This window comes from Homo sapiens, chromosome 2 (genome assembly GCF_000001405.40).
Source record: "Homo sapiens chromosome 2, GRCh38.p14 Primary Assembly".
In the NCBI taxonomy this organism is placed as follows: Eukaryota; Metazoa; Chordata; class Mammalia; order Primates; family Hominidae; genus Homo; species Homo sapiens.
In genome coordinates, this window is record NC_000002.12 from 139,328,974 (window position 1) to 139,355,062 (window position 26,089).

At 36.3% G+C, this 26,089-nt stretch overlaps 1 long non-coding RNA gene across 2 annotated transcripts in view; it reads left to right on the forward strand.

Moving 5' to 3' along the window:
* Nucleotides 1–26,089, forward strand: part of LOC105373643 (uncharacterized) — a 144,473-nt gene that overhangs the window by 94,301 nt on the left and 24,083 nt on the right. Inside the window, exons 3-5 of one of the 2 annotated variants that reach the window (NR_188040.1) lie at nucleotides 1,761–2,252; nucleotides 10,281–10,362; nucleotides 13,630–13,744. This is a non-coding gene — a long non-coding RNA (uncharacterized LOC105373643). Of the gene's footprint in view, nucleotides 1–1,760; nucleotides 2,253–10,280; nucleotides 10,435–13,629; nucleotides 13,745–26,089 lie in introns of both variants that reach the window. The other variant, NR_188041.1, reaches the window with a different exon arrangement.

Here is a 26,089-nt window from a genome sequence, read left to right on the forward strand (position 1 = left end):
GAAAATATTTTTATTACAATAAGCATAGAAATTAACATTCATGAGAGCAAAAACTTGTCTAGTTTGTTATACCACTGTATCTCTGGACCCTAATATTGTATCTGGCTCCAAGAGAGTGTCTAATTAATATTTTTAAGTAAATTGAAAAAGAAATGAGATACATTTCTTGTATTGAAAAAGTATGAAAATTATTTTTGCCCCTCTCCTAAATATTTTCTGTTGATCATGCACAGATCCTAAAGCTACCAAATAAATAAAAATCCAGATTAATCACAATCAGATAAGATCTATGATCATTTTTGTAAGGGCAAGCAATTTGGAAAATTTTGCAAACTGATTTTCCTGGGAATGCTGTTTTTTCTTCTCCTTAATCTATAAATCCATTGCATCTATATCCATGTAGGAATCCACGCATGTCTCTCTCCAAAGCACAAGAGAGAAAATACTTCCTCTTGGGATTCTCTATTTTCTGCTGATACCAATCTAACTTGGCGAGATCAGGAAAGTATATTTCGTTCCCAGGCCATATTTTTAGAAGGCTTCAGGCTAAAATGATAAAAAAAAATAAAAATAAAAATAAAAAACAATAAAAATATATTATCTCTATGAAAAGATTTTTTAGGGAGCTTGTACAGTTTGTTTTATACTCCTTGTTCTTTGTTTTCTAAGGATAATGAGACTACGGAGTCCTCACCTCTAGACATATGAATACTTAGGAATATGATATTACTCTTGGGAGCTGGATAATTCTCCATGGTTCATCTTTATTTATCTCGATATCTCTAGAGATATTCTTCATAGTCATTCCTCGTTTTCAAAATTCATCACACAAACTTGTCCTCCAGGGCTCCTTAGGTTTTTCAGAAACAAAGTATCTTCTTTTGTTGGGTAGATATGAGTGGTTTTTATTTCCTTGAAGGAAATCAAATACATTTAAAACAAAATACATCACTCCTTTAGCATTATAGAAAACTTTCAATGCTGTAGGTCATATAAGTATTAATAATTACAAAATAATCACTGTCTTGACAATAGGATGGTTTTCAAATGTGTTTTTATATTACATCCTTCTATATGGAAATGTGTGAAGAATTACTACTCTTGTGGATTGCTTCAAAAACACTTTGCCAGGTCATTAATTGTCAGAAATCAGAATATTTAACTGTATATTGAAATTACCCAATATATGTATTCAGTGTACATGTATTTAATATACTTTTTAGTGCAAATATGGGCACACATCATTTATATTTGAAAGGAACTGAGAAAGACAGAAACCTGAGTATTTTACAGAATTTATGCAAATAAAAGAGATGACTGCCGGAAGCCAAATTAGCATCTGACTTTTAAGAAGAAACCCTCTTAAAGACAGTTTGGGGACAATCTAGAGAGTCTATATTAATTATTGCTGCTAAATATAAATGATAGCCTTTTGATGTGTATATTAAGTATTTGTGGGCACATGATATTCCTAAGACATGATAAGTAATGGGAAAACAGAGCACTGAATCCCATCTATAAGAAGTTTTGATAATATTTTTATCCCTGGTAGTCATAGTAGTAAAAGTTTTATTGAAAGGTGAATAAGTGGATTTGAGATATTTTGCATAATGATAAACAAAGTATATCTTGAAAATGAGAGTTGAGTATTTGGAAAATGTTAATTCTATCAATTCTTTCTGTCATAGGCTATTACTATAGGGAGCAAAATAAGTTTTGAAAGAATGTGAAATGTAAACATTGATGATAATGTTTTTTAGGTCACTTGTTTTGAAGAAAATCATCAGAAGAACTTTGAACTATAAGATATTGACTATTAAATCATGTTATTTTCTTCATTTGTCAAAGTTATTGGGATGTAGCAAATACTTGAGACTTTGAATTGAGTAGATTTTGAGTAGATTTATGAATGAAATCAAAGGACACACAAAAACAGTGTAATTCACCCATCTGGAGACTCCACGTATGAGTTTGAAAACTTTTAGTATGTATGCCAATTAGTCCATCCAGCCAAATAGGCACAACAATTTTCCGATAATAAGAAAAATAAGACCAAGAAGCTAGCTGGAATACTAAGAAAAACAACAGAGGGAGTTAAATTCTTCATTAAAATTGACCACTTCTAGAGGCCTTGCAGGAAATATTAAAATAAGTTCTTCAATGAGAATGAAAATGATATAGGTCAGAAACTTGGATCTGCATGAAGATACACCTTAAAAAAGGAAGAGCATCAGAAAAATGAATAAGTGAAGGTAAAATAAATTTTTTTTTTTAATTTTAATTGATCTAACAGGTAAACATGTATTTAAAATAATGATAACGTGCTTGACTATATATATAGTGTATGTGTGTGTGTGTGTATGTATATGCTTATGTATGAGAGAAATGAATATTTGCATTCAATGCTATAATTTTTTTCTCTAATATTTGCTTTCACTGCCCCCTACAAATTTTGAAAGATTATAGCTCCATTTTCATGTGGTTCAAAATATTTTTTAATTTCTCTGGAAAGTTCTTCATTGATCCATGTGTTACTTCAAAGTGTGTTCTTTAATATCCAAGTATTTTGAGTTTATTCAATTATCTTTCTGTTACTGATTTCTAGTTTAATTTTATTGTGATCTGAGAATATACACCGTATGATTTATATTCTTTCTGAGTAAGGTGTGTTGTATAGCTCAGAATGTGGTCTATCTTGGTGAATATTCATTATGAGCTCGTGTTCTGCTGTGGACTGAAGTAGTCAGTAAATATCAATTATGTCTCATTGACTGATGGTGTTGAACTCAGCTGTGTTCTTACTGATTTGCTGTGAGCTGGATCTACCCATTTCTGATATGGTGTTGTTACAACTCAAACCATAATAGTAAATTTACTTGTTTCTCCTTGCAATTCTATCAGTTTTTACCCCAGGTACTTTCATGCTTTGCTGTTAAGTGCTATACATTAAAGATTGTTATGTCTTCTTGCGATATTGTCCCTTTTGTTTTTATGTAATACCTCTCTTTATCCCTGAAAAATTTTCTTTCTCTAAAGTCTTCTATGTCTGAAATTAATATAATCATTTCAACTTTTTTTGCTTAATGTTAGCATGTTATATCTTTCTACACCCCTTTACTTCTAATTTACAAGTGTCTTTATATTTAAGGTGTTTTTTCTTGTTGAAGAAAAACACAGTTGACCTTTGAATAACATGAGGTTAGGGTCACTGAGACCATGCACAATTGAAAATCCATGCATAACTTTGGTTCTCCCAAAACTTAAGTACTTACAGGATACTATTGACTGGCAGTCAATCAACACATATTTTCTACGCTATATGTGGTATATATTATATATTTACAATACAGTAAGCTACGGAAAAGGAAATATTATGAAGAAAATTGTAAAGAAGGGAAAGCATATTACTATTCATTACATTGAAATGGATAATCGATAATCATAACAATTTGTATCCACATTGTTTTCATGTTGAGTAGGCTTAGAAGGAAAAGCAAGAGGATAAGTTGGTCTTTCTGTTGCAGGGGCAGCAGAGGCAAAAGAAAATTCACATGTAAGTAGACCTGTGCAGTTCAAACCCATGTTGTTCAAAGGTCAACTGTAGTTCAATCATATTTTTTAATCCACTCTGACAATCTCTGTCTTTTAATTGGTATATTTAGAGCATTGATATTTAAGGTGCTTATTGATATAGTTGAATTAATATTACTATATTTGCTACTGTTTTCTATTTGTTGTTTTTGATCTTTATTCCTGTTTCTATCTTCCACACTTTTTCTGATTTGTGATATTAATTGAGCATTTTATATTATGTCATTGTTTCTTCTATCTTAGCATATTAGTTATACTACTTTTTAAATTTTTTATTTTTATGGTTTTCTCAGAGTAAGTAGTATACATTTACAATTAATTCAAGTTAACTTTAAAATAATGCTAAACCTCCTCACAGCTAGTTCAAGTAACTTATAATAACAGAATATTGCTAATTTCTTTCTCTCCTTCCTCGTATCATTGCTGTTATTCATTTCCAATCAAGAATTTCATATCCAGCCAAACTAAGCTTCATAAGCAAAGAAGAAATAAGATCTTTTTCAGACAAGCAAATGCTAAGGAAATTAATTACCAACAGACCAGTCTTACAAGAGTTCTTGAAGGGAGTACTAACTATGGAAAAGAAAGACATTACCAGCCACTAAAAAAAAAATGCACTTAAATACATAGACCAGTGACATTATAAAACAATGAAACAAACAAGGTTTCATCATAGCCAGATAATAACATGATGGCAGAATTAAATCTATACTTCTTATTACTAATTTTGGATGTAAGCAGACTAAATGCCCCAAATAAAAGACATAGAGTAACAAGTTGGATAAAGAAGCAAGACCTAAGCCTTACAGTCTTCAAGAGACTGAGCTCATATGTAGTGACACCCATAGGCTCAAAGTAAAGTAATAAAGAAAAATCTACCAAACAAACAGAAAACAGAAAAAAGGCATGCGTTGCTATTCTAATTTAAGACAAAATAGGCTTTAAGCCAACAAAGACTAAAAAAGAGAAACAAGAGCACTACATAATGGTAAACAGGTCAATTCAACAAGATCTAACCATTTTAAATGTGTATGCACCCAACACAGGAACACCCAGATTCATAATGCAAGTTCTTAGGGATCTATGAAGAGACTTAGATAACCACACAATAATATCAAGAGTCTTCAACACCCAAATGGAATTATCAGACAGATCATGGAGTAAAAAAATTAACAAATATATTCAGGATCTGAACTCAGTAGTTGACCAAATGGACATAATAAACATCTATAGAACTCTCCACCTTGAAACTGACCACAGAATGAGACATAAAATAATACTCAGCAAATTCAAAAGACCAGAAGTCATACCAACCACACTCTCAAAACACAGCACAATTAAAATAGAGCTATATACTAAGAAGATTGCTCAAGACCATACAATTACATGGAAAAACAACCTGCTCCTGAATGACGTTTGGGCAAATAAATAAATCAAGGCAGAAATCAAGAAGTTCTTTGAAACTAATGAGAACAAAGATACAACATACCAGAATATCTAGGACATAGCTAAATCAGTGCTGAGGAATGTTGATAGCAGTAAATGTCCATATCAAAAAGATAGAAATATCCCAAATTAACAGCCTAACATCACATATACAGCAACCAATAAAACAGAGCAAACTAACTCCAAAGTTAGCAGGAAAAAAGAAATAACCAAAATCAGAGGACAATTGAAAAAAAATGGAAAAAATGTACAAAATATTAACAAATCCAAGATTTGATATTTTGAAAAAAATAAGATATACCATTAGCTAGATCAACAAAGAAAAAAGAAAGAGGATCCAAATAAACAGAATCACAAATGACAAAGGAGACATTACTACCAACCTCACAGAAATACAAGAAACCCTCAGAGAGTACTATGAATACCTTTGATCACACAAAATAAAAAAAAAACGAGTTACTGGGTGCAGTGCACCAGCATGGCACATGTATACATATGTAACTAACCTGCACAATGTGCACATGTACCCTAAAACTTAAAAGTATAATAATAAAAAAAAATAGAATAAATGGATAAATTCCTGGAAACATATAATAACCTCCCAAGATTGAGCCAAGAAGAAATTGAATCCCTGAACAGACCAATAACAAGCTCCTGATCTGAATCAATAATAAAAAGCCTACCAACTAGGAAAAGCCCAGCACCTGATGGATTCACAGCCAAACTCTAACAGAAGTATAAACAAGAGCTGGTATGATTCTAGCTTAATTTTGAAACTATTCAAAAAAAAATTGAAGAGGAGGGATTCTTGCTTATCTCATTATATAAGGCCAGCATCATCTGTTACCAAAACCTGGCAGAGACACAACAAAGAATGAAAACTTCAGGTCAATATCCCTTCCTGAACAGAGACACCAAAACAAACAAACAAACAGAAACACAACAAACAAACAAGCAAACAAAAACCCCTCAACAATCTACTGGCAAACCAAATCCAGCAGCACATCAAAACCTAATCAACCATGACCAAGTAGGTTTCATTTCTGGGATGCAAGGTTGGTTCAACAAATGTAAACCAATAAATGTGATTCATCACATAAACAAAACCAAAAACAAAAACCATATGGCCATCTCTTTTTTTCTTTCCCTTCCTTCCTTCCTTCCTTCCTTCCTTCCTTCCTTCCTTCCTTCCTTCCTTCCTTCCTTCCTTTCTCTCTCCTTTTCTTTCTTTCTTTCTTTCTTTCTTTCTTTCTTTCTTTCTTTCTTTCTTTTCTTTCTTTTTCTTTCTTTCTTTCCTTCTTTCTTTCTTTCTGTTTTAAGATGTTTCCTTGTAGTATATATTTATTCATAGAAAAGGAAAACAACTTAGTAAAATGCTATCAAAATTTTATCAGAAAATGTCTTCTCCCAGGTCTAAAATTTCTTAAAGGAGATGTTTTTTCTTTCAAGGTACCACAGGTAACAATTTTACCAAAATTTTTGCCACTACAAAATATAAGTTGCCATTTATTCTATCCTTGCAATAATAGCTTTCTTGCCATGTTTCTTACTTCCCTTAATAGTTTCTTTGTCCCATGCTGTCTAATCTCAAAGCAAGTCCAAAGGGTTCTAGGTTTTGTTACAACAGCATTTCACTTCCAAGTAAAAATTTCTTTCTATAATGGTAATTCATTGCTCCAATAGAGCTGCTCAACAAATCACATCGAATTCAGTGGAATAAAACAATAAACTTTTATTTAGCTCACAAACTCATTGGTTAACTATTTTAGTTGGGCTCAGCTGGGCAATTCTGCTGCTCTGAAGTGAGCTGGATTTACACACATGCACACTCTTCATTTGGCTGTTGGCTAAACGCGGAGGTCCCCAGTTGGAACAACTAGTACAACTCAGCTGTAATTCACATGTTTTTTGCTCCAGCAGACCACTCTGAGCATGTCTAGCATTGGCAGAGATTCAAGAATGGCAAAACATAAATGTCCAAGTGCTTTTTCCTACCTCAGCATGTGGCAAGTATCCTTACATTTGTGGCAAGTATGATTTGCCAGAGCAAGTTATATGGCTGAGACTAGAGTCACAGACAAATAGTACTACTGTGTTACAGTATAAAAGGCTTGGATACAGGGAGGGTAATTTGAACCTTTTTTTGCAATATATCATAGCTGCTATTCTAGAAATGACCTAAACAGTTAATAATATACATTTGTAGAAACAATGATCTTTCAAAACATGAATGCAATGAAATGATAATTAAAATATATATTATGATGTTACTGATTATCCCTTTGTAGTATAAATTGAGATACAGAGACTCAAAAGCCTACAGGTATATATAATAAACGTGCTAGATACAACAAAATCAATAGCTCAAGTGAGATGATTAAGTTATATCTGATCCTTGGTTTTAAGATGAAAAAAATAGGGAGTAAAGAAAAGCTAAATATCAACCAGTCATGGTGGCTCACACCTGTAATCCCAGCACTTTGGGAGGCCAAGGTGGGCGGATCACTTGAGGTCAGGAGTTTGATACCAGCCTGACCAATATGGTGAAACCCCGTCTCTACTAAAAATACAAAAATTAGCCGGCCGTGGTGGCAGGCACCTGTAATCGCAGCTAATTGGGAGGATGAGGCAGGAGAATCGCTTGAACCTGGGAAGTGGAAGTTACAGTAAGCTGATATTGCTCTGGTGTACTCCAGTCTGAGTGATGACAGAGTGAGACTCTACCAAAAAAAAAAAAAAAAAGGAAAGAAAAGAGAAATATCCAGGTTTTAATGTGAATTTTCCTGATTTTTAAAGTGTTGGAATTTAAATGAAAGTACACGGGGCACAAAAACAAAAGCACAAATGCAGAGCAGGCAAATTACAACCACATTAAAATAGAATCGATCAGTAAGACTGAAATAATTCCTGAAAATTTCAATGTCTATTCTCGTGCAGCTTTCTCTGTGCTGGTATTGCTGGCCTACCAACTTAAAACCACTCAGCATTCTAAATTTGTCTTAAAACAGAAGATCTTCCCTAAAATGTAGCCTAGTTTGTAAGAGTTCTAACATATCACCTGTTTTTCTAGAAAAATTATCCAGGCTTCCCACATTTTTATCCACTGGCTTGGGTAATTGCCACTGGGCCATTAGGAACCACAACTACTTGTCTTCAAAAGTTTTGTGCTTTTGTTGCCATATATCAGCCATCAGGTGCCACACTGATCCTTTCTGAATGAATCTCATACTATATTAAGCCCTAATTTGCTACATATCTTTGGACAATTTGTATGAAACTCCTGGCTACTCCTCTCTGAGGGCAGTTGTATGGTGCTGTCATTTTTTTAACAACTTATATTGTTCAATTAAAACTTATTTTTATTTTATTTTATTTCATTTTATTTTATTTTATTTTATTTTTGAGACGGAGTCTCCCTCTGTCACCCAGGCTGGAGTGCAGTGGCCGATCTTGGCTCACTGCAGCCTCTGTTTCCTGAGTTCAAGCAATTCTCTTGCCTCACCCTCCTGAGTAGCTGGGATTACAGGAACACACCACCAAGCCTGGCTAATTTTTGTATTTTTAGTAGAGATGGGGTTTCACCATGTTGGTCAGGCTGGTTTTGAACTCCTGACCTCGTGATCTGTCCACCTCGGCCTCTCAAAGTGCTGGGATTACAGGTGTGAGCCACGGCGCCTGGTCCAACTAAAGCTTATTTTTGTATTTCATTGGCTTACTCAATATATGAGACCTACATTTCTTATTTACAGAATTAGATAATTAAACTAAATCACATTCAAGATGCCTTCTAGCTATGCAATTTTATAAGTATTTCAAACACTCAGTATTTTACTGTTATTCCCATTCTGCTCTTCTAATTTACCTGATTTGCTGCTTTGTCTTTGAGTCTGTTTCATAGGTTTGTACTCAATAACATGATACCTATCTCAGGAGAAGGAAGGTGGGCTAATCACCCACATCAGAATCTTCTACCTTTGAGCTGCTGCAGTTTTTGAGTAACTACATGACTGGTGGTGTTGTCAATGAGCAGGCAGGAGCAAGTGAGCCCATGCTGATAATTTGAAGTTGAAGTTTAGACACAATGTCACCTCTTTGAAATGAGGTCGGCCTTCGGAGAAATACCTCAAAATTGTTGAAAATATATAATATTTTATTAACTAACATAACATAAACAAAAACACATTTTTTCTGTGTGTTATCTTGACTGTTAGTGTAGGGCCCTGTTCTCAGAAACCCTGAAGAAAGAAGCATAACACAATAATCTAACATGCTCTATAAAATTTTCTAGCACAACCCAGAATATTTACATGAAAGATGCTCTAATCATGCAAAAGAAAAAAACTTTCTACTTAGTACTGATAGTTCACATTCAAATCCATTTATCAGTACATTCAAGCATACAGATAACATATGAGCAAAATGAGAAATAATACTGTGATTTCAAGCTTCACTGAACTAGGGTATAGAAATTCTGAACTAAACAATTGTTAAATGCCTGCCAGATAAATTACTGTGGATGAATTGTTTTTATTCACTGTCTCTTCTTAGAAGCAACAAATGAAAATATACATTTCTTTATGATGTAGTCACCATATTTAAACTCACATGATACTTGCTTTAGCCACCCTACTGACTTAGAAAAAGAAGAATCAATAAATGCCTTGTCTGAATATGTTCCAATTGGATAGCAAGAGTCTTTTAAATCACCCAGATCCTACCTAGTTCTTATGTGTGTGAGCTCAGGATGATGACACAAAAGAAAGAAGGCATCTCTCACTGTTGCATAAAAGAAATCCAACAATGACCATTTCAATCACCTTTCTGTTGTTCTAAATGCTATTTTGTGGCTCAAACTTCACTATGACTGAACTACTGAACACCTTCCACTTAACTTAAGGATTGGGTAAATGACACTTCAGAGTGCAAAAATACTAAAGAATTCATGCCTACATGTCAATATATATAATATGCAATTCAATAATCTTTTTGATCTTATTAAGGTCATTGTGATTTTCAAACACTGTAATGGAGGTTGAATGTTGACAAATTTATGGGGAATAATGAATAAAAGATTAAGGAATAGTTGTAATGGGAAGCATATTTACAATGATCTGTAGAGACGCAAACTGAAAATAACTCAATTATGGTTTTGCTTAACCTATTAGATAATGTTATAGATAATAAGCTGTACATTTGGAGCCAGCTTCTTGGTGATGACTTGTTTGGCTTGATTTCTCACTTAGGTCAAGTGCTGTGCTGTACTGATTGATAGATTGTCTCCAGCAGGAAGTTTGACAATGGACAACCTAGAAGCAGATGTGCCTGGTACATATCAGGGGTGATGGAGGTTTCAGGATTATGCTGACTGAAATATGGAGGCTCTGTATCTGTATATAGGTATCTGTATATAGTCTCATTTTAACTCACTTGTATATTGAGAGAGAGAAAGATAGTCTTTTGCTGTAGCTCTTAGCCCTCTGAAGTCCTGGCATACCATGGAGGGAAATGCATAACAATACTCAAATTTCCGGTATCTGTGAAAAAATGTTCCTTTAAATCAGAGTCCACCCAATTCCACATTTCCTCCAGCATATTGTTATCAAAGCCCAGTCATTTTGGGGGTGGCAGGAGAGAGAGATAGAGTGGGAGAGAGAGAGAGAGAGGAGAGTGGGGAGAGAGAGAGAGAAGAGAGGAGAGAAGGGAGAGGAGAGAGAGGAGAGAGAGGAGAGAGGGGGAGAGAGAAGAGGAGAAAGATAGCAGAGAGAAGGAGGGGAGAGAGAGAGGAGAGAAAGAGGAGAGACAGAGGAGGGAGGAGAGAGAGAGAGGGAAGGGGGGAGAGAGAGAGGAGGTGAGAGAGAGAGAGGAGGGGACAGAGAGAGAGGAGGGGAGAGAGAGAGAGGAGGGGGGAGAGGAGAGAGGAGAGAGAGAGAGAGAGAGAGATGATTTCCAGAGGCACTTTTATCAATTTTAAATTAAATTGATCAATTTACCTATATAGGGTCTGGTATATTTATGAGGTAAGTTGTCTTCTACTTCCTCTGTTAACCTGGTACACTGTTGCTTGCACTGATAAATTTGTCAAATAGAAGTGGCTTGATTCAAACGATGTATAAATCGATCTCTTCTTATATATATTTTGTCCTTTGTGCTGAGGTCATTATATTTGAATTGAAAGGCACTATGTAATGTATTAATGATATGTTGGGGTTTTCTTTGGGCCTTTGCAGATTTGTTTTTATGGGGTTTATAGCCCTCATGAAACTTCTTCTTCTTGGCTTACAATAACATAACATTTTTTTTCTAAACAAGCTGTTTTTAAAATGCCAGAGTATTTGAGAGGTACTTTAGTACTTTAAATTGTGAATAATAAAAATACATTTATGTACTTTGTATATCTGAGTATCCTCCCAGAACTGTTCATTAAACTTTGTCAAGCTACCATTAAAATCCACACATTCAGAGGATAAAACTTAGAGAGCTTTTAAAACTTAAGTATTTAATGCACTTGATTTGGTCTTTTAGGCCCAGGAGGGGGCTAGCTAAGTGCCTGAGATGTTCAAAGTTACCATCATAACAGCTAAGTCCCTTTCTCCCCTCCCTAGGGAGCTGGTAGGAGCTCGATCTTTGCAAAGGGATTTTTAATCTTTTATTCATTATTCTTCACAAAGCACTTGCCTGATAACAGGGTACAACCTGACAGTAGGATGTCCTTTTTCCCAACTTCAATAATCTGTTTTTTTCTCTACCTTCTGTCTTTTTCTCATTTAATGTGACCTCCTCTTTCTCAAACCCTGCACACTTTAATTTGGTCATTTTTTTTTTTTTTTTTTTGTCTTCTACTGTGGGGATTCAGAGTGTTCAAAACCCTACTTCCAACATCATTGTTTTTCCATTTGTTAGAGCTAAGGTAAACTGACATTACATCTTGAGGTGACCATGTCTACATCTTTTGCTCATAGAATTTACTGAAATTGATTAAGTTTTTTTCTGGGTTGGCCAGGCTGCCCAGACATGAGAAGGGCTAAGTGCTGAATGGTGTTTGCCGAGTATTTGCATTGTATGATTAGCAGAATCATAGAATCTTAGAATGGAAACAGAACTTATCTGTCTTTGGTCAGTTTCCTATCATGATTCCTTCTCCAATAATTCTATGGAAATGTTTAAATCTTTGCTTTAAGCCTTTCTAAGATTTTAGAGCTCAGTACTATCTACTGAAGCCTTTTACATTGTTGGACAATTATAATGTTATAAAGATCTTTCTCATATTAAGCAGAAATATCATGAGCTACATTTTCCTATTCCCATATTCAGGCAATTCTAATAAATCTAAATGCCTTTCTAAGGCATGACTTAAAAACTGTCCTCACATAACATTTTATTAATTGATGCATTTGTATAGTTTAATAGTATGAGCAATTCACAGTACGGATTAGGTATCTGTATATAGTCTCATTTTAACTCACTTTTATATTGAGAGAGAGAAACAGAAATACTTTATTAGTAATACAAATATAAGAAAATATTGAGGGGATAAATAGCCCCTATCATGTTGTAAGTAAATTAGTGCAAACCAAAATATTAGTGTTCTGTTGTAATTTTTAAATCTAGCTAGTTCCTGGAGTTTTTATAACTTATACAAATGAGAATGAACACAAAGATTGTTACAATCCAGAGTTTTGGTTTAATTTCATCTAAAATAAGTACTGTGATGTTGAATTTTAACAGCTTGCTAAGAGTGAAGAATTCTTTTTGTTGTAATTTAATCACCTCCAAATGTTATTTATTGAGTCCCTGAAAGTATTTTCTTACAGTATCTAGATTTTCCTCAGAGATCTCATTTGTGCACAACCCTTACTTGTCTCAGCTTATGAAAGCTGATACGATCTCATCTGAAAGTAATACTGCAGGGAGTCATTTGTTTCATAGAAATAAGCAATATCATCATAGAATACTGTGGGGCACAGGATGTGATTTTAGGGGAAAAAGCATTTTTCTGAGTACAAATAAAAAAATGAAACGCATTATCCATATAAAATATCAAATGTATTTAAAAATTTACATCTTGAAAATTAAAGCAAATAAAATCTCAAAGAAAAGGGTAAATTACTAATAGATGAAATGTAGAATTTCATTTTTTTACGTTTACTCATTTCATTTTCCACTGTTTATCTTTTATTCATTATCTTTCCACTTCTACTGTAACTTCAATTTTCATGGAAAAGCTCAGATGTGAAAAAAATAGAAATATTATAGTATTGATATTAGAAGCTCTTGAGCTAAGCAGATCAGGGTCCAAATCTCAGAAGCACCACTTTCCAACTATATAATCTTGGCTTAGAGTCACAATTCTGTAACTCCAAATGCATGCAAGTGAAATCATTTTGACAGCTATTAGTGCTCTTTACCAAATATTTACAGTATCTGCTTTCTGGGCAGAGGGTACGATTGCATTGCCTTGCCACCTCATGTTTGGATGGGGGCAAATGATTAGTTCTGGTCAATTGCTTATGAACAGAAGTGACTTGCGTCAATTTCAGATCAGAATATTTGTCTGCAAAGACTTCACAGAACACCCATTTTTTTTCTCTCAAGATAAATGTAAATGGTAGCTTCTTTGTGGCCCTTCCACCAGAAGTGAAGAAGCCTGGTGCAGAGCTTCTACTTGACCTATGATAGATATGCTGCTGGAGAAGAAATCAACCTCCTGGTACGATATGCTATTTAGCTTTGGGGGCTGTTTCTTACTGAAGTATAATCTAGCCTACTAATTATGAAATAGTCATTAGCATTGTATCTCATCCATAGCAAGAGCCTAGTAAATATAATATTGAAGCAGTGTGTCTAAAAAGCATACTTTTCATGGTTTTTGTTTTTGTTTTTGTTTTTGTTTTTTGAGATGGAGTCTCTCTCTGTAGCCAGGCTGGAGTGCAGTGGTGCAATTTCAGCTCATTGCAATCTCCGCCTCCCGGGTTCAAGCCATTCTCCATCCTCAGCCTCTCGAGTAGCTGGGATTATAGGCATGTGCCACCACACCCAGCTAATTTTTTTGTATTTTTAGTAGTGACAGGGTTTTACCACGTTGGTCAGGATGGTCTCGATCTCCTTACCTTGTTATCCGCCAGCCTTGGCATCCCAAAGTTCTGGGATTACAGGTGTGAGCCACTGTGCCCGACCATGGATTATTTTTTAATACAACAAAGAGAAAAGACTTGCAGAAACCTCTCTGCCTTGGTTTAGGTCTGTTGAACATATTGAATCTTTAATATTGTCAACACCATGCAACGTCAAAAAAGGTCCTGATACATTTTAATAGGTCTAACTAGAGTTGAGTGTTCATTTTTATGCAATCTCAGGAGATTTTATGGAGTTCTTTAGGAAATCTTTCTGAGTCAAATTTAGATTGACAACTAGCCAGTTTTTAAAAGTTTTGTATGTATTTTTGGTTTCTCAAAAGGTACCATTTATTCATTTGCAAGTCTGTATTTCAATAACTTCCTGTCTGCCAAAGATCTAGTTTAATGCTGTAAAATAATCCTACACATCACAACCCATCTGTGTTTCCCAGAGATACCATAACAAAGCATCACAAACTGAATGGCTTCAATGGCAGAAATTTATTGTCTCCAACTTCTGGAGATTATAAATTTGAAATGAAGGTGTCAGCAGGGCTGGTTCCTTCTGACAGCTTTGAAAGATGATCTGGCATGTGCCTCTCTTCTAGCTTCTGGTGGTTTGGTGGCAATCTTTGGTGCTCCTTTCTTTGTAGATGTGTCATTCCAATCTGCCTTCTCCTTCATATGATGTCCTCTCTGTGTGTCTTCACAGTTTCTTGCCTCCGTGCATGTCTATCTTTAGTCCAAATTGTATCCTTTTTAAGGTATCAGCTATATTGGATTCGGGCCAATCCTAATGAGGTCATTTTTATTGAATTACTTATGTAAAGACTATTTTTAAATAAGATCACATTCAGTGGTACTAGGAGTTAAAACTTCAAAGTATCTTTTTTGGTGGGACAAAATTCAGCCCATAACACCACTATATTAATTGGCAATACTAGTCGAAGTGTTTACTGGATAGCTCTGTATGTGCATGCCAACAAACAGTGAGTGCGTAACACAAATGTAACTGAATTATTACTAAAGATAACTCCACCATATGCACCATGTGGATTATAATCTATGGTGCAAATCCACTTTCTCTTCCTCACTTTACTGAATCATCTGAGAGATAGAAACAGAGAAAGTGAAGTAGGTGGCTGGGATTTTCATAATTCTCAATATTGAGTGTGTGTGTATGTGTGTGTGGGTATGTGTGTGTGTGTGCATGCACACACCCACAGGATTGTATTTCCTCACCACCTCATGTTTACATGACTTTATCTTGTCTTCATATTTGAATTAGGATGAATAAATACTTGCATTCTTTGAGAGAGTCACAGTATCAAATTACCTTTCGTTTTCTTGACAAAAATAGTTTTCTTAATGATAAAAGTTAAGGTCCATTTTCAAAATTAATTTGCTGAGCCACAGCAATCTTTCCATAAAAGATAACATTGACCTGCAATTTTATTATCAACCACAAAAGTAATACCTTTTTTCATAGCTCTTCCTCAATGCCCAATAAACTGTGGGTTAAGAAAGTTTCAAGTAGGCCGGGTGAGGTGGCTCATGCCTGTAATCCCAGCACTTTGGGAGGCCAAGGTGGGTGGATCATTTGAGTTCAGGAGCTTGAGACCAGCCTGGCCAACATGGTGAAACCCTGTCTCTACTAAAAGTACAAAAATTAGCCAGGTAGTAGTGTCATTACCTGTAATCCCAGCTACTCTGGAGGCTGAGGTGGGAGAATCCCTTGAGCCTGGGAGGCGGATGTTGTGGTGAGCTGAGATCAGGCCACTGTTCTCCAGTCTGGGCAAGACAGTGAGACTCTGTCTCAAAAAAAAAAAGTTTCAAGTAGAGAAAATGGGAGAGTAATAAGAAGTATTCTGCCTGCTGGTACAAGTAGATGATAACAGAGAAGAGATTTACCGTGCCTGCAAGGTCAAAATGTCAGCTTTCCAGCTGGCTCCTAGAAAATTCCTGATGAGGTAGCATCCATATGCAACAGTCATGTTTGGCTACTTAGAGGATTTTCTTTTCTTTATTTTTTGTTTTTGTTTTTGTTTATTGAGACAGTCTTGCTCTGTCGCCCAGGCTGGAGTGCAGTGGTGCAATCTCAGCTCACTGCAACCTCTGCCCCTGGGTGCAAGCAATTCTGTGCCTCAGCCTGGCTGGAATTACAGTTGCCTGCCACCACGCCTGGCTTGGGGTTTCACAGTGTTGGCTAGGCTGGTCTCAAACTCCTGATCTCAAGTGATCCACCCGTCTCAGCCTCCCATAGTGCTGGGATTACAGGCATGAGCCACCACGCCCAGCCTACTTAGAGGATTTTCTAAAAGTTATAATTACATGAATATGGATTGATCGTCTTGAATGAATTTACTTTTTATTAGATAGTCTCCTCTCAGTATGACAAGAAGGTTGAGGTTCATTTTCTAATACAGTATACATAACACACCAATAAGAAGAAGTATTTCTATGCAAGAGTAAAGAGGTGAGTTTGGGCCATCTTTATTCACTTTGAGACATTTCTTATGCATGTAACCTTAAGCACTATGCTGGGAAATGGGGGCTTATAGAGGAAAACAGCATGCTAAACATGTTTAATGACACAAAATGGTACATTTGCAAATTTAATCCTAAATAGTAACACTTGATTGATGAGGTGATTATTTACCTAGAATTGAGTACTTCTCCAGTGAATGTTTAAAATAAGACAGCATACTCACCTTTTAAAGGAAATATTCAAGATTTTCTTGTGTTTAATATTAAAAGAATGTGTTTCAGAAGTACCTGAAAATATTTTTCTGCAGAGGATTTACAAATTATATGCACAAATTTATCCTAAAAGAATCAGAACTGAGAAAGTATGCTAAGAGTTCCATTTTAGGCTTATAAACTGACTAATGAATAAAAAGCATTTATTTCATCCGTGGTCTGAACTCATATTTACCAAGAATATTTATTTTTATCTACAATGCTTGGGAAATACTTTTTCTTAAAGCCAATAGTCTTGTGGAGTGTTCAGCTTAAATTGTTTTGTGTAAATGGAAGCTGAACTTACAACCTTTTCCCACCCCCTCAAGGAAAGGAAGAAATTGAAATCCATTATGTGAATACAGCTATTTAAAACAACACGGAGTTTCAAGCTAACACAGGTGATCCTAAGAATGCAGGGCTGGACCACAACTAAGAGGTCATGCAGTCTATTCCTTTTACTTTTGGAAAGAGTGTGCTTAATCCACACGAGAAAGGTAAAGAAACAATTCTGAAACTTTGAAGCAACGAAGATTCCATAAGTTCTACAATGTCTCATTTCTCAGTTCTTCTTTTTTTATATATACTTCAAGTTCTGGGATACATGTGCAGTGCATGCAGGTTTGTTACATAGGTATGCATGTGCCAGGGTGGTTTGCTGCACCCATCAACCCACCATCTATATTAGGTTTTTCTCCAAATGCTATCCCTCCCCTTGCCCCCCACCCCCTGACAGGCCCCTGTGTGTGATGTTCCCCTCCCTGTGCCCATATGTTCTCATTGTTCAACTCCCACTTATGAGTGAGAACATGCAGTGTTTGGTTTTCTGATCCTGTGTTAGTTTGCTGAGAATGATGGTTTCCAGCTTCATCCATGTCCCTGAAAAGGACATGAACTCATTCTTTTTTATGGCTGCATAGTATTCCATGGTGTATATGTGCCACATTTTCTTTATCCAGTCTAACAATGATGCACATTTGGGTTGGTTCCAAGTCCTTGCTATTGTGAATAGTGCTGCAATAAACATACGTGTGCATGTGTCTTTACAGTAGAATGATTTATAATCCTTTGGGTATATACCCAGTAATGCGATTACTGGATCAAATGGTATTTCTAGTTCTAGATCCTTGAGAATCACCACACTGTCTTCCAAAATGGTTGAATTAATTTACACTCCCACCAACAGTGTAAAAGCATTCCTATTTATCCACATCCTCTCCAGCAACTGTTGTTTCCTGACTTTTTAATGATCATCATTCTAACTGGCATGAGATGCTATCTCATTGTGGTTTTGATTGCACTTCTTTAATGATCAGTGATGATGAGTTTTTTTTCATATGTTTGATGGTTGTATAAATGTCTTCTTTTGAAAAGTGTCTGTTCATATCCTTTGCCCACTTTTTGATAGGGTTGTTTGTTTTGTTCTTGTAAATTTGTTTAAGTTCTTTGTAGATTCTGGATAATAGCCCTTTGTCAGATGGATAGATTTCAAGCATTTTCTCCCATTCTGTAGGTTGCCTGTTCATTCTGATGATAGTTTCTTTTGCTGTGCAAAAGCTCTTTAGTTTAATTAGATCCCATTTGTCAATTTTGGTTTTCGTTACCACTGCTTTTGGTGTTTTAGTCATTAAGTCTTTGCCCATGCCTATGTCCTGAATGGTATTGCCTAGGTTTTCTTCTAGGGTTTCTATGATTTTAGGGCTTATGTTTAAATCTTTAATCCATCTTGAGCTAATTTTTTATAAGGTGTAAGGAAGGGGTCCAGTTTCAGTTTTCTGCATATGGCTAGCCAGTTTTCCCGACACCGTTTACTAAATAGGGAATCCTTTCCCCATTGCTTGTTTTTGTCAGGTTTGTCAAAGATCAGATGGTTGTAGATGTGTGTGATTATTTCTGAGGCCTCTGTTCTGTTCCAATGGTCTATATATCTGTTTCGGTACCAGTACCATGCTGTTTTGGTTACTGTAGCATTGTAGTATAGTTTGAAGTCAGGTAGTGTCATGCCTCCAGCTTTGTTATTTTTGCTTAGGATTGTCTTGGCTATATGGGCTCTTTTTTGGTTCCATATGAAGTTTAAAGTAGTTTTTTCTAATTATGTAAAGAAAGTCAATGGTAGCTTGATGGAAATAGCACTGAATCTATAAATTACTTTGGGCAGTATATCCATTTTCATGATATTGATTCTTCCCATCTATGAGAATGGAATGTTTTTCCATTTGTTTGTATCCTATCTTATTTCCTCGAACAGGGGTTTGTAGTTCCCCTTGAAGAGGTCTTTCACCTCCCTTGTAAGTTGTATTCCTAGGTATTTTATTCTTTTTGTAGCAATTGTGAATGGGATTCCACTCATGATTTGGTTTTCTGTTTGTCTATTATTGGTGTATAGGAATGTTTGTGATTTTTGCACATAGATTTTGTATCCTAAGACTTTGTTGAAGTTGCTTATCAGCTTAAGGAGTTTTGGGGCTGAGATGATGGGGTTTTCTAGACATAGGATCATGTCATCTGCAAACAGAGATAATTTGACTGTCTCTCATCCGATTTGAATATGCTTTATTTCTTTCTCTTGCCTGAATGCCCTGGCCAGAACTTCCAATAATATGTTGAATAGGAGTGGTGAGAGAGGACATCCTTGTTTTGTGCCAGTTTTCAAAGGGAATACTTCCAGCTTTTTCCCATTCAATATGATATTGGCTGTGGGTTTGTCATAAATGGCTCTTGTTATTTTGAGATACATTCCAGCAATACCTAGTTTATTGAGTGTTTTTAGCATGAAGGGGTGTTGAATTTTATCAAAGGCCTTTTCTGCATCTGTTGAGATAATCATGTGGTTTTTGTCATTGTTTCTGTTTATGTGATGGATTATATTTATTGATTTGCACATGTTGAACCAGCCTTGCATCCCAGGGATAAAACCGACTTGATCATGGTGGATAAGCTTTTTATTGTGCTGCTGGATTTGGTTTGCCAGTATTTTATTGAGGATTTTTACACTGATGTTCATCAGGGATATTGGCCTAAAATTTCCTTTTTTTGCTGTGTCTCTGCCAGGTTTTGGGATTAGGGTGATGCTGGAGTCAAAAAATGAGTTAGGAAGGAGTCCCTCTTTTTCTATTGTTTGTAATACTTTCAGAAGGAATGGTTTCAGCTCCAATTTGTAATTCTGGGAGAATTCAGCTGTGACTGTGTCTGGCCCTGGACTTTTTTTGATTGCTAGGCAATTAATTACGACCTCAGTTTCAGAACTTGTTATTGGTCTATTCAGGGATTTGACTTCTTCATGGTTTAGTCTTGGGAGGGTGTATGTATCCAGGAATTTATCCATTTCTTCTAGATTTTCTCGTTTATTTGCATAGAGATGTCTATAGTATTCTCTGATGATAGTTTGTATTTCTGTGGGATCAGTGGTAATCTCCCCTTTATCATTTTTCATTGTGTTTATTTGATTCTTCTCTCTTTTCTTCTTTATTAGTCTGGCTAGTGGTCTATTTTGTTAATCTTTTCAAAAAACCAGCTCCTGAATTCATTGACTGTTTGAAGGGTTTTTTTGTGTGTGTGTCTCTATCTCCTTCAGTTCTGCTCTGATCTTACTTATTTATTGTCTTCTGCTAGCTTTTGAGTTTGTTTGCTCTTGCTTCTCTAGTTCTTTTAATTGTGATGTTAGGGTGTCGACTTTAGAGCTTTCCCGCTTTCTCCTGTGGACACTTAGTGCTACAAATTTCCCTCTTAATACTTCTTTAGCTGTGTCCCAGAGATTCTCGTATGTTGTGTCTTTGTTCTTATTGGTTTCAGAGAACTTATTTTTTTCTGCCTTAATTTTGTTATTTACCCAGTAGTCATTCAGGAGCAGGTTCTTCAGTTTCCATTTAGTTGTGCAGTTCTGAGTGAGTTTCTTAATCCTGAGTTCTAATTTGATTGCACTATGGTCTGAGAGACTGTTTGTTATGATTTCTGTTCTTTTGCATTTGCTGAGGAGTGTTCTTCTTCCAATTATGTGGTTGATTTTAGAATAAGTGCTATATGGTGCCATCATCACTATGAAGAAACTGCATCAACTAATGGGCCAAATAACCAGCTAGCATCATAAAGACAGGATCAAATTCACACATAACAATATTAACCCCAAATGTATACGGGCTAAATGCCCCAATTAAAAGGCACAGACTGGCAAATTTGATAAAGAGTCAAGACCCATCAGTGTGCTGTATTCAGGAGACCCATCTCACGTGCAAAGACACACATAGGCTCAAAATAAAGGGATGTAGGAATATTTACCAAGCAAATGAAAAGCAAAAAAAAAGCAAGGGTTGCAATCCTAGTCTCTGATAAAACAGACTTTAAACCACCAAAGATCAAATGACAAAGAGGGCATTACATAATGGCAAAGGGATCAATGCAACAAGAAGAGCTAACTATCCTAAACATATATGCACCCAATACAGGAGCACCCAGATACACAAAGCAAGTTCTTAGAGACCTACAAAGAGATTTACACTCCCACACAATAATAGTGGGAAACTTTAACACCCCTCTGTCAATATCAGACAGATCAACAAGATAGAAAATTAACAAGGATATTCAAGACTTGAACTCAGCTCTCGACCAAGCAGAGCTAATAGACATCTACAGAACTCTCCACCCCAAATCAACAGAATGTACATTCTTCTCAATTCTTTATACAAATATGAAAAGATAATTTATTTCTCAGTAGGTTAACTCTAATTTCTTTTTTTCTTTTTCTTTTTTTTTTTTTTTGATGCAGAGTCTCAGTCTGTTGCCCAGGCTGGAGAGCAGTTGCACAATCTTGTCTCACTGCAACTTTTTCCTCCCAGGTTCAAGCAATTCTCATGCCTCAGCCTCCCAAGTAGCTTGTATTACAGGCTCCTGCCACCACGCCCGGCTAATTTGTGTATTTTTAGTGGAGATAGGGTTTTGCCATATTGGCCAGGCTGGTCTCGAACTGCTGACCTCAGGTGATCTGCACAACTTGGGCCTCACAAAATGCTGGTATTACAGTCATGAGCCACCATGCCTGGTCAAATCCAATTTTTATATCACATCTTTTAGTATAAGGCTTCTCAAATTTTAAAGATTCATAAAAATTACCTGAATATCTTGTTAAAATGCACTTTCTGAATCAGGTGGTCTATGGTGGCAGGTTTTTCAGGTTTCTCATTTCTAACAAGTTCCCAGTGATGATGCTGCTGCCTGGTCCAGGGACCACATTTGGGGGTGTGGTAGCAATGCTCTAGAAATGGGAAATGTAGATCTAGAAGTACACTAAGAAGACGCTTAGCCTGACACATGTGTTTTATTAAAGGATTTCAGCTACTTTGGTAGATAGCTTTCTTTTTCTGTTTCACGTATTCATTAAAACAATTGTAAAATATTCAATGGCAAACAGAATCCTAGTATTTTGTATTTTTGTATGTAGCACAGAGGCTGTACAACCACCAAACAAAATGTTACAGAGCAGTGCAAGGATTTGGCCAACAATGCATATGACAATGTCATATTGAATAATATTAGGCAAAACATATAGACTTGAATTAGCCAATAGCCATATCATTTGTTACATACAGCCATTATACACATTTATACGTTTCTGTCACTTGTTAACTATTGAGACACTGGAGTTTCAAATCCCTGTTGATGGCTGGACATTAAGTTGGTAGTTGGCAAGATAAGTTTAGATTCCTTTTTCAGTTTTAACATTCTATCATGTGGCATGACAGTATTAAAGAACTTGCTCACATTCACGTAACTGTCTTGCCTTAAAGATGGGAACATAGCAGCTTTCAGTTTAAGTTAAGTGCATTATGTAGCCTCTAAACCTTCAGTCATTCAAATGGTCCTTTCCTTACCAAGAGACCATAAACATATATATAAAATTGGATCTTACATTTGATTTTTGAAAACATTGGAAGTACTTTTTACAATTTTCTTAGCTTGTGTCAAGTGGACCAAACACTTTGATAAATAATTAACATTTCACTTTGTGAATGTGTCATCATCTAGGCAGAACTATTAAAAATGCATTTTATCTAGGCAGGTTTTGGATAGTCACATTGTGGAAAATGTCCCTTAACACATGAGAATTTTTAAAGAAAAATGTGCTTTGTTGGTGTAAATCTCTTATCTAGTAGCAGGTTCTTGTATTTCCATTTGGATTTTTCTTAATGCCCATTTTCTCTATAGTATGAGACTTCTTACCACTATTTGTTACAAATCATATTATACATGCATGCTATTACAATCCCCACTTTTCAAACAGTTATTGTTTTCATTGGGGAAATTGGGTTTATATTCTCCTGGATTTTTTAATTACTTGAGTATGTCTTCAAGAAGTGGGGCATAGAATGTGGATATGTTCTAAGACTGCCTGCTGCCTAATCCTTTCATTCATCTTACATTGGTATGTCCAGGAAATATGGATGCTATTTCCGGATCATGGAACTAAATGACTTAAATTAAATGTCCATTTTTTTCAAACAGATGTCACTACTGATACTCATCTGTATTTTGTTCTATTGAATATTGTCTATTCTCTTCTTTTACATCTTATAGATTAAATATACATAATAATAAAATCTGGTTAACAAAAAGGTACTTGATGATACTAAAATAATTAGACGCTTTAAAAATCTATCATTTTTAATATGAATTACTTTTCTATTTAAAAGCACCAAGCTGATTATGCTATAGTGAATCTATTAGTCTGAAAGTGTACAGTCAATGGAAATTGAATATAAGAGAATATCAAATATATATCATAAGATTGAGAGGTTACATACTCAGTAATTGATATGGTTTAGCCGTGTCCTCAACCAAATCTCATCTTGAATTCCCATGTGTTGTGGGAGAGACCTGGTGGGAGGTAATTGAATCATGGGGGCAGGTCTTTCTTATGTTGCTCTCATGACAATGAATAAGTTTCATGAGATCTGATGGTTTTAAAAATGGGAGTTTCCCTGCACAATCTCTCTCTTTGCCTGCTGTCATCCATGTAAGATGTGACTTGCTCCTCCTTGCCTTCCGCCATGGTTGCAAGGCCTCCCCAGCCATGTGGAACAGTAAGTCCATTAAACCTCTCTTCCTTTTGTATACTACCCAGTCATGGGTATGTATTAATCAGTAGCATGAAAGTGGACTAATAAATTGGTACCAGTAGAGTGGGGTGTTGCTGAAAAGATACCCCAAAATGTGAAAGTGACTTAGGAACTGGGTAAAGGCAGAATTTGGAAGAGTTTGGAGGGCTCAGAAGAAGACAGGAAAATGTGCAAAAGTTTGGAGCTCCCTAGAGACTTGTTGAATGGCTTTGACCAAAATGCTAATAATGATACAGACAATGAAATCCAGAGTGAGGTGGTATCAGACAGAAATGAGGAACTTTTTGGGAAATGGAATAAAGATGACTGTTGTTATGTTTTAGCAAAGAGACTGGTGGCATTTTGCCCCTGCCTTAGAGATCTGTGGAACTTTGAAACTGAGAGAGATGATTTAGAGTATCCAACAGAAGAAATTTCTAAGCAGCAAAACATTCAAGATGTGACCTGTTTGCTGTTAGAAGCATTCAGTTATTGAGGAAGGAAAGCATAAGAGTTTAGAAAATTTGCAGCCTGACAATGCGATAGAAAAGAAAATTCCATTTTCTGAGGAGAAATTCAAGTCGACTGCAGAAATTTGCATAAGTAATGAGAAGCCAAAAGTAAATCCCCAAGACAATAGAGGAAATATCTCTAGGGCATGTCAGAAGCCTTCACAGCAGCCCCTCCCATCACAGGCCTGGAGGCCTAGAGGGAAAAAATGGTTTTGTGGGCCAGGTCCAGGGTCCCCGTGCTGTGTGTGTGCAGCCTAAGGGCTCGGTGCCCTGCATCCCAGCAACTCCAGCTATGGCTAAAATTGGCCAAGGTACAGCTTGAGCCATGGCTTCAGAAGGTGCAAGCCCCAAGCCTTGGCAGCTCCCATGTGGTGTTGAGCCTGCAGGTATACAGAAGTCAAGAATTGAGGTTTGGGAACCTCCAACCAGATTTCAGAGGATGTATGGAAATGTCTGGATGCCCAGGCAAAGTTTGCTGCAGGGGTGGGTCCCTCATGAAAAACCTCTGCTAGGGCCATATGAAAGGAAAATGTGGGGTTGGAGCCCCCACACAAAGTCTGTACTGGGGCACCACCTAGTGGAGTTGTGAGAAGAGGGACACTGTCCTCTAGACCCCAGAGGGTAGATCCACTGACAGATTGCACTATGTGTCTGGAAAAGCAGCAGATGCTCAATGTCTGCCTGGAATGCAGCCAGGAGGGAGGCTGTACCCTGCACAGCCACAGGGGCAGACCTGCCCAAGACCATGGGAACCCATATCTTGCATGAGCGTGACCTGGATGTGAGACCTGGAGTCAAGGGATATCATTTTGGAGCCTTAAGATTTGACAGTCCCACTGGATTTCTGACTTGCATGGAGTCTGTAGTCCCATTGTTTTGGCCATTTTCTCCAATTTAAACCAGCTGTATTTACCCAATGCCTGTACCCCCTTTGTATCTAGGAAGTAACTAACTTGCTTTTGATTTTACAGGCTTATAGGCAGAAGAGACTTGCCTTGTCTTGGATGAGACTTTGGACTGTGGACTTTTGAATTAATACTGTAATGAGTTAAGACTTTGGGGGACCATTGGGAAGGCATGATTGGTTTTGAAATGTGTGGACATGAGATTTGAGAGGGGCCAGGGGCAGAATGATATGGAAGAGGTAAGGAACAGATTTTCCTCCTGAGTCTCTGTAGGGAGTGTGGCACTGCTGACACCTTGATTTTGGCTGGCCTCCAGAACTGTAAGAGGGTAAGTTTCTGTTGCTTTATGCTACAAGGTTTGTGGTTCTTTGTTATGAGAGCCCTAGGAAACTAATACAAATGGTATTCAAAGCAGTAAAGAAGTGCTTATGAGCATTAATAATGATCAGAAGGTGTCTAGGAAAGAGGGCAGGCAGAGAGTGGAGGGAACAGCATTGCCAAGCCCTGGAAGTGAGAAGGGATAATGGCACGTTTAAGGTAGAGCAGTGAGAGAAGTTCAGTACAGCAGATCCTGACAGTTCTGAAATGATTCTTTTTTCCTTCCTGGCCAGTGTTCCAGAAATTATACTTTACTCTTTACGTAATAAACAATATCAACAAACTATGCAACAGAAAGCTTCACAGACAGTTTCCTA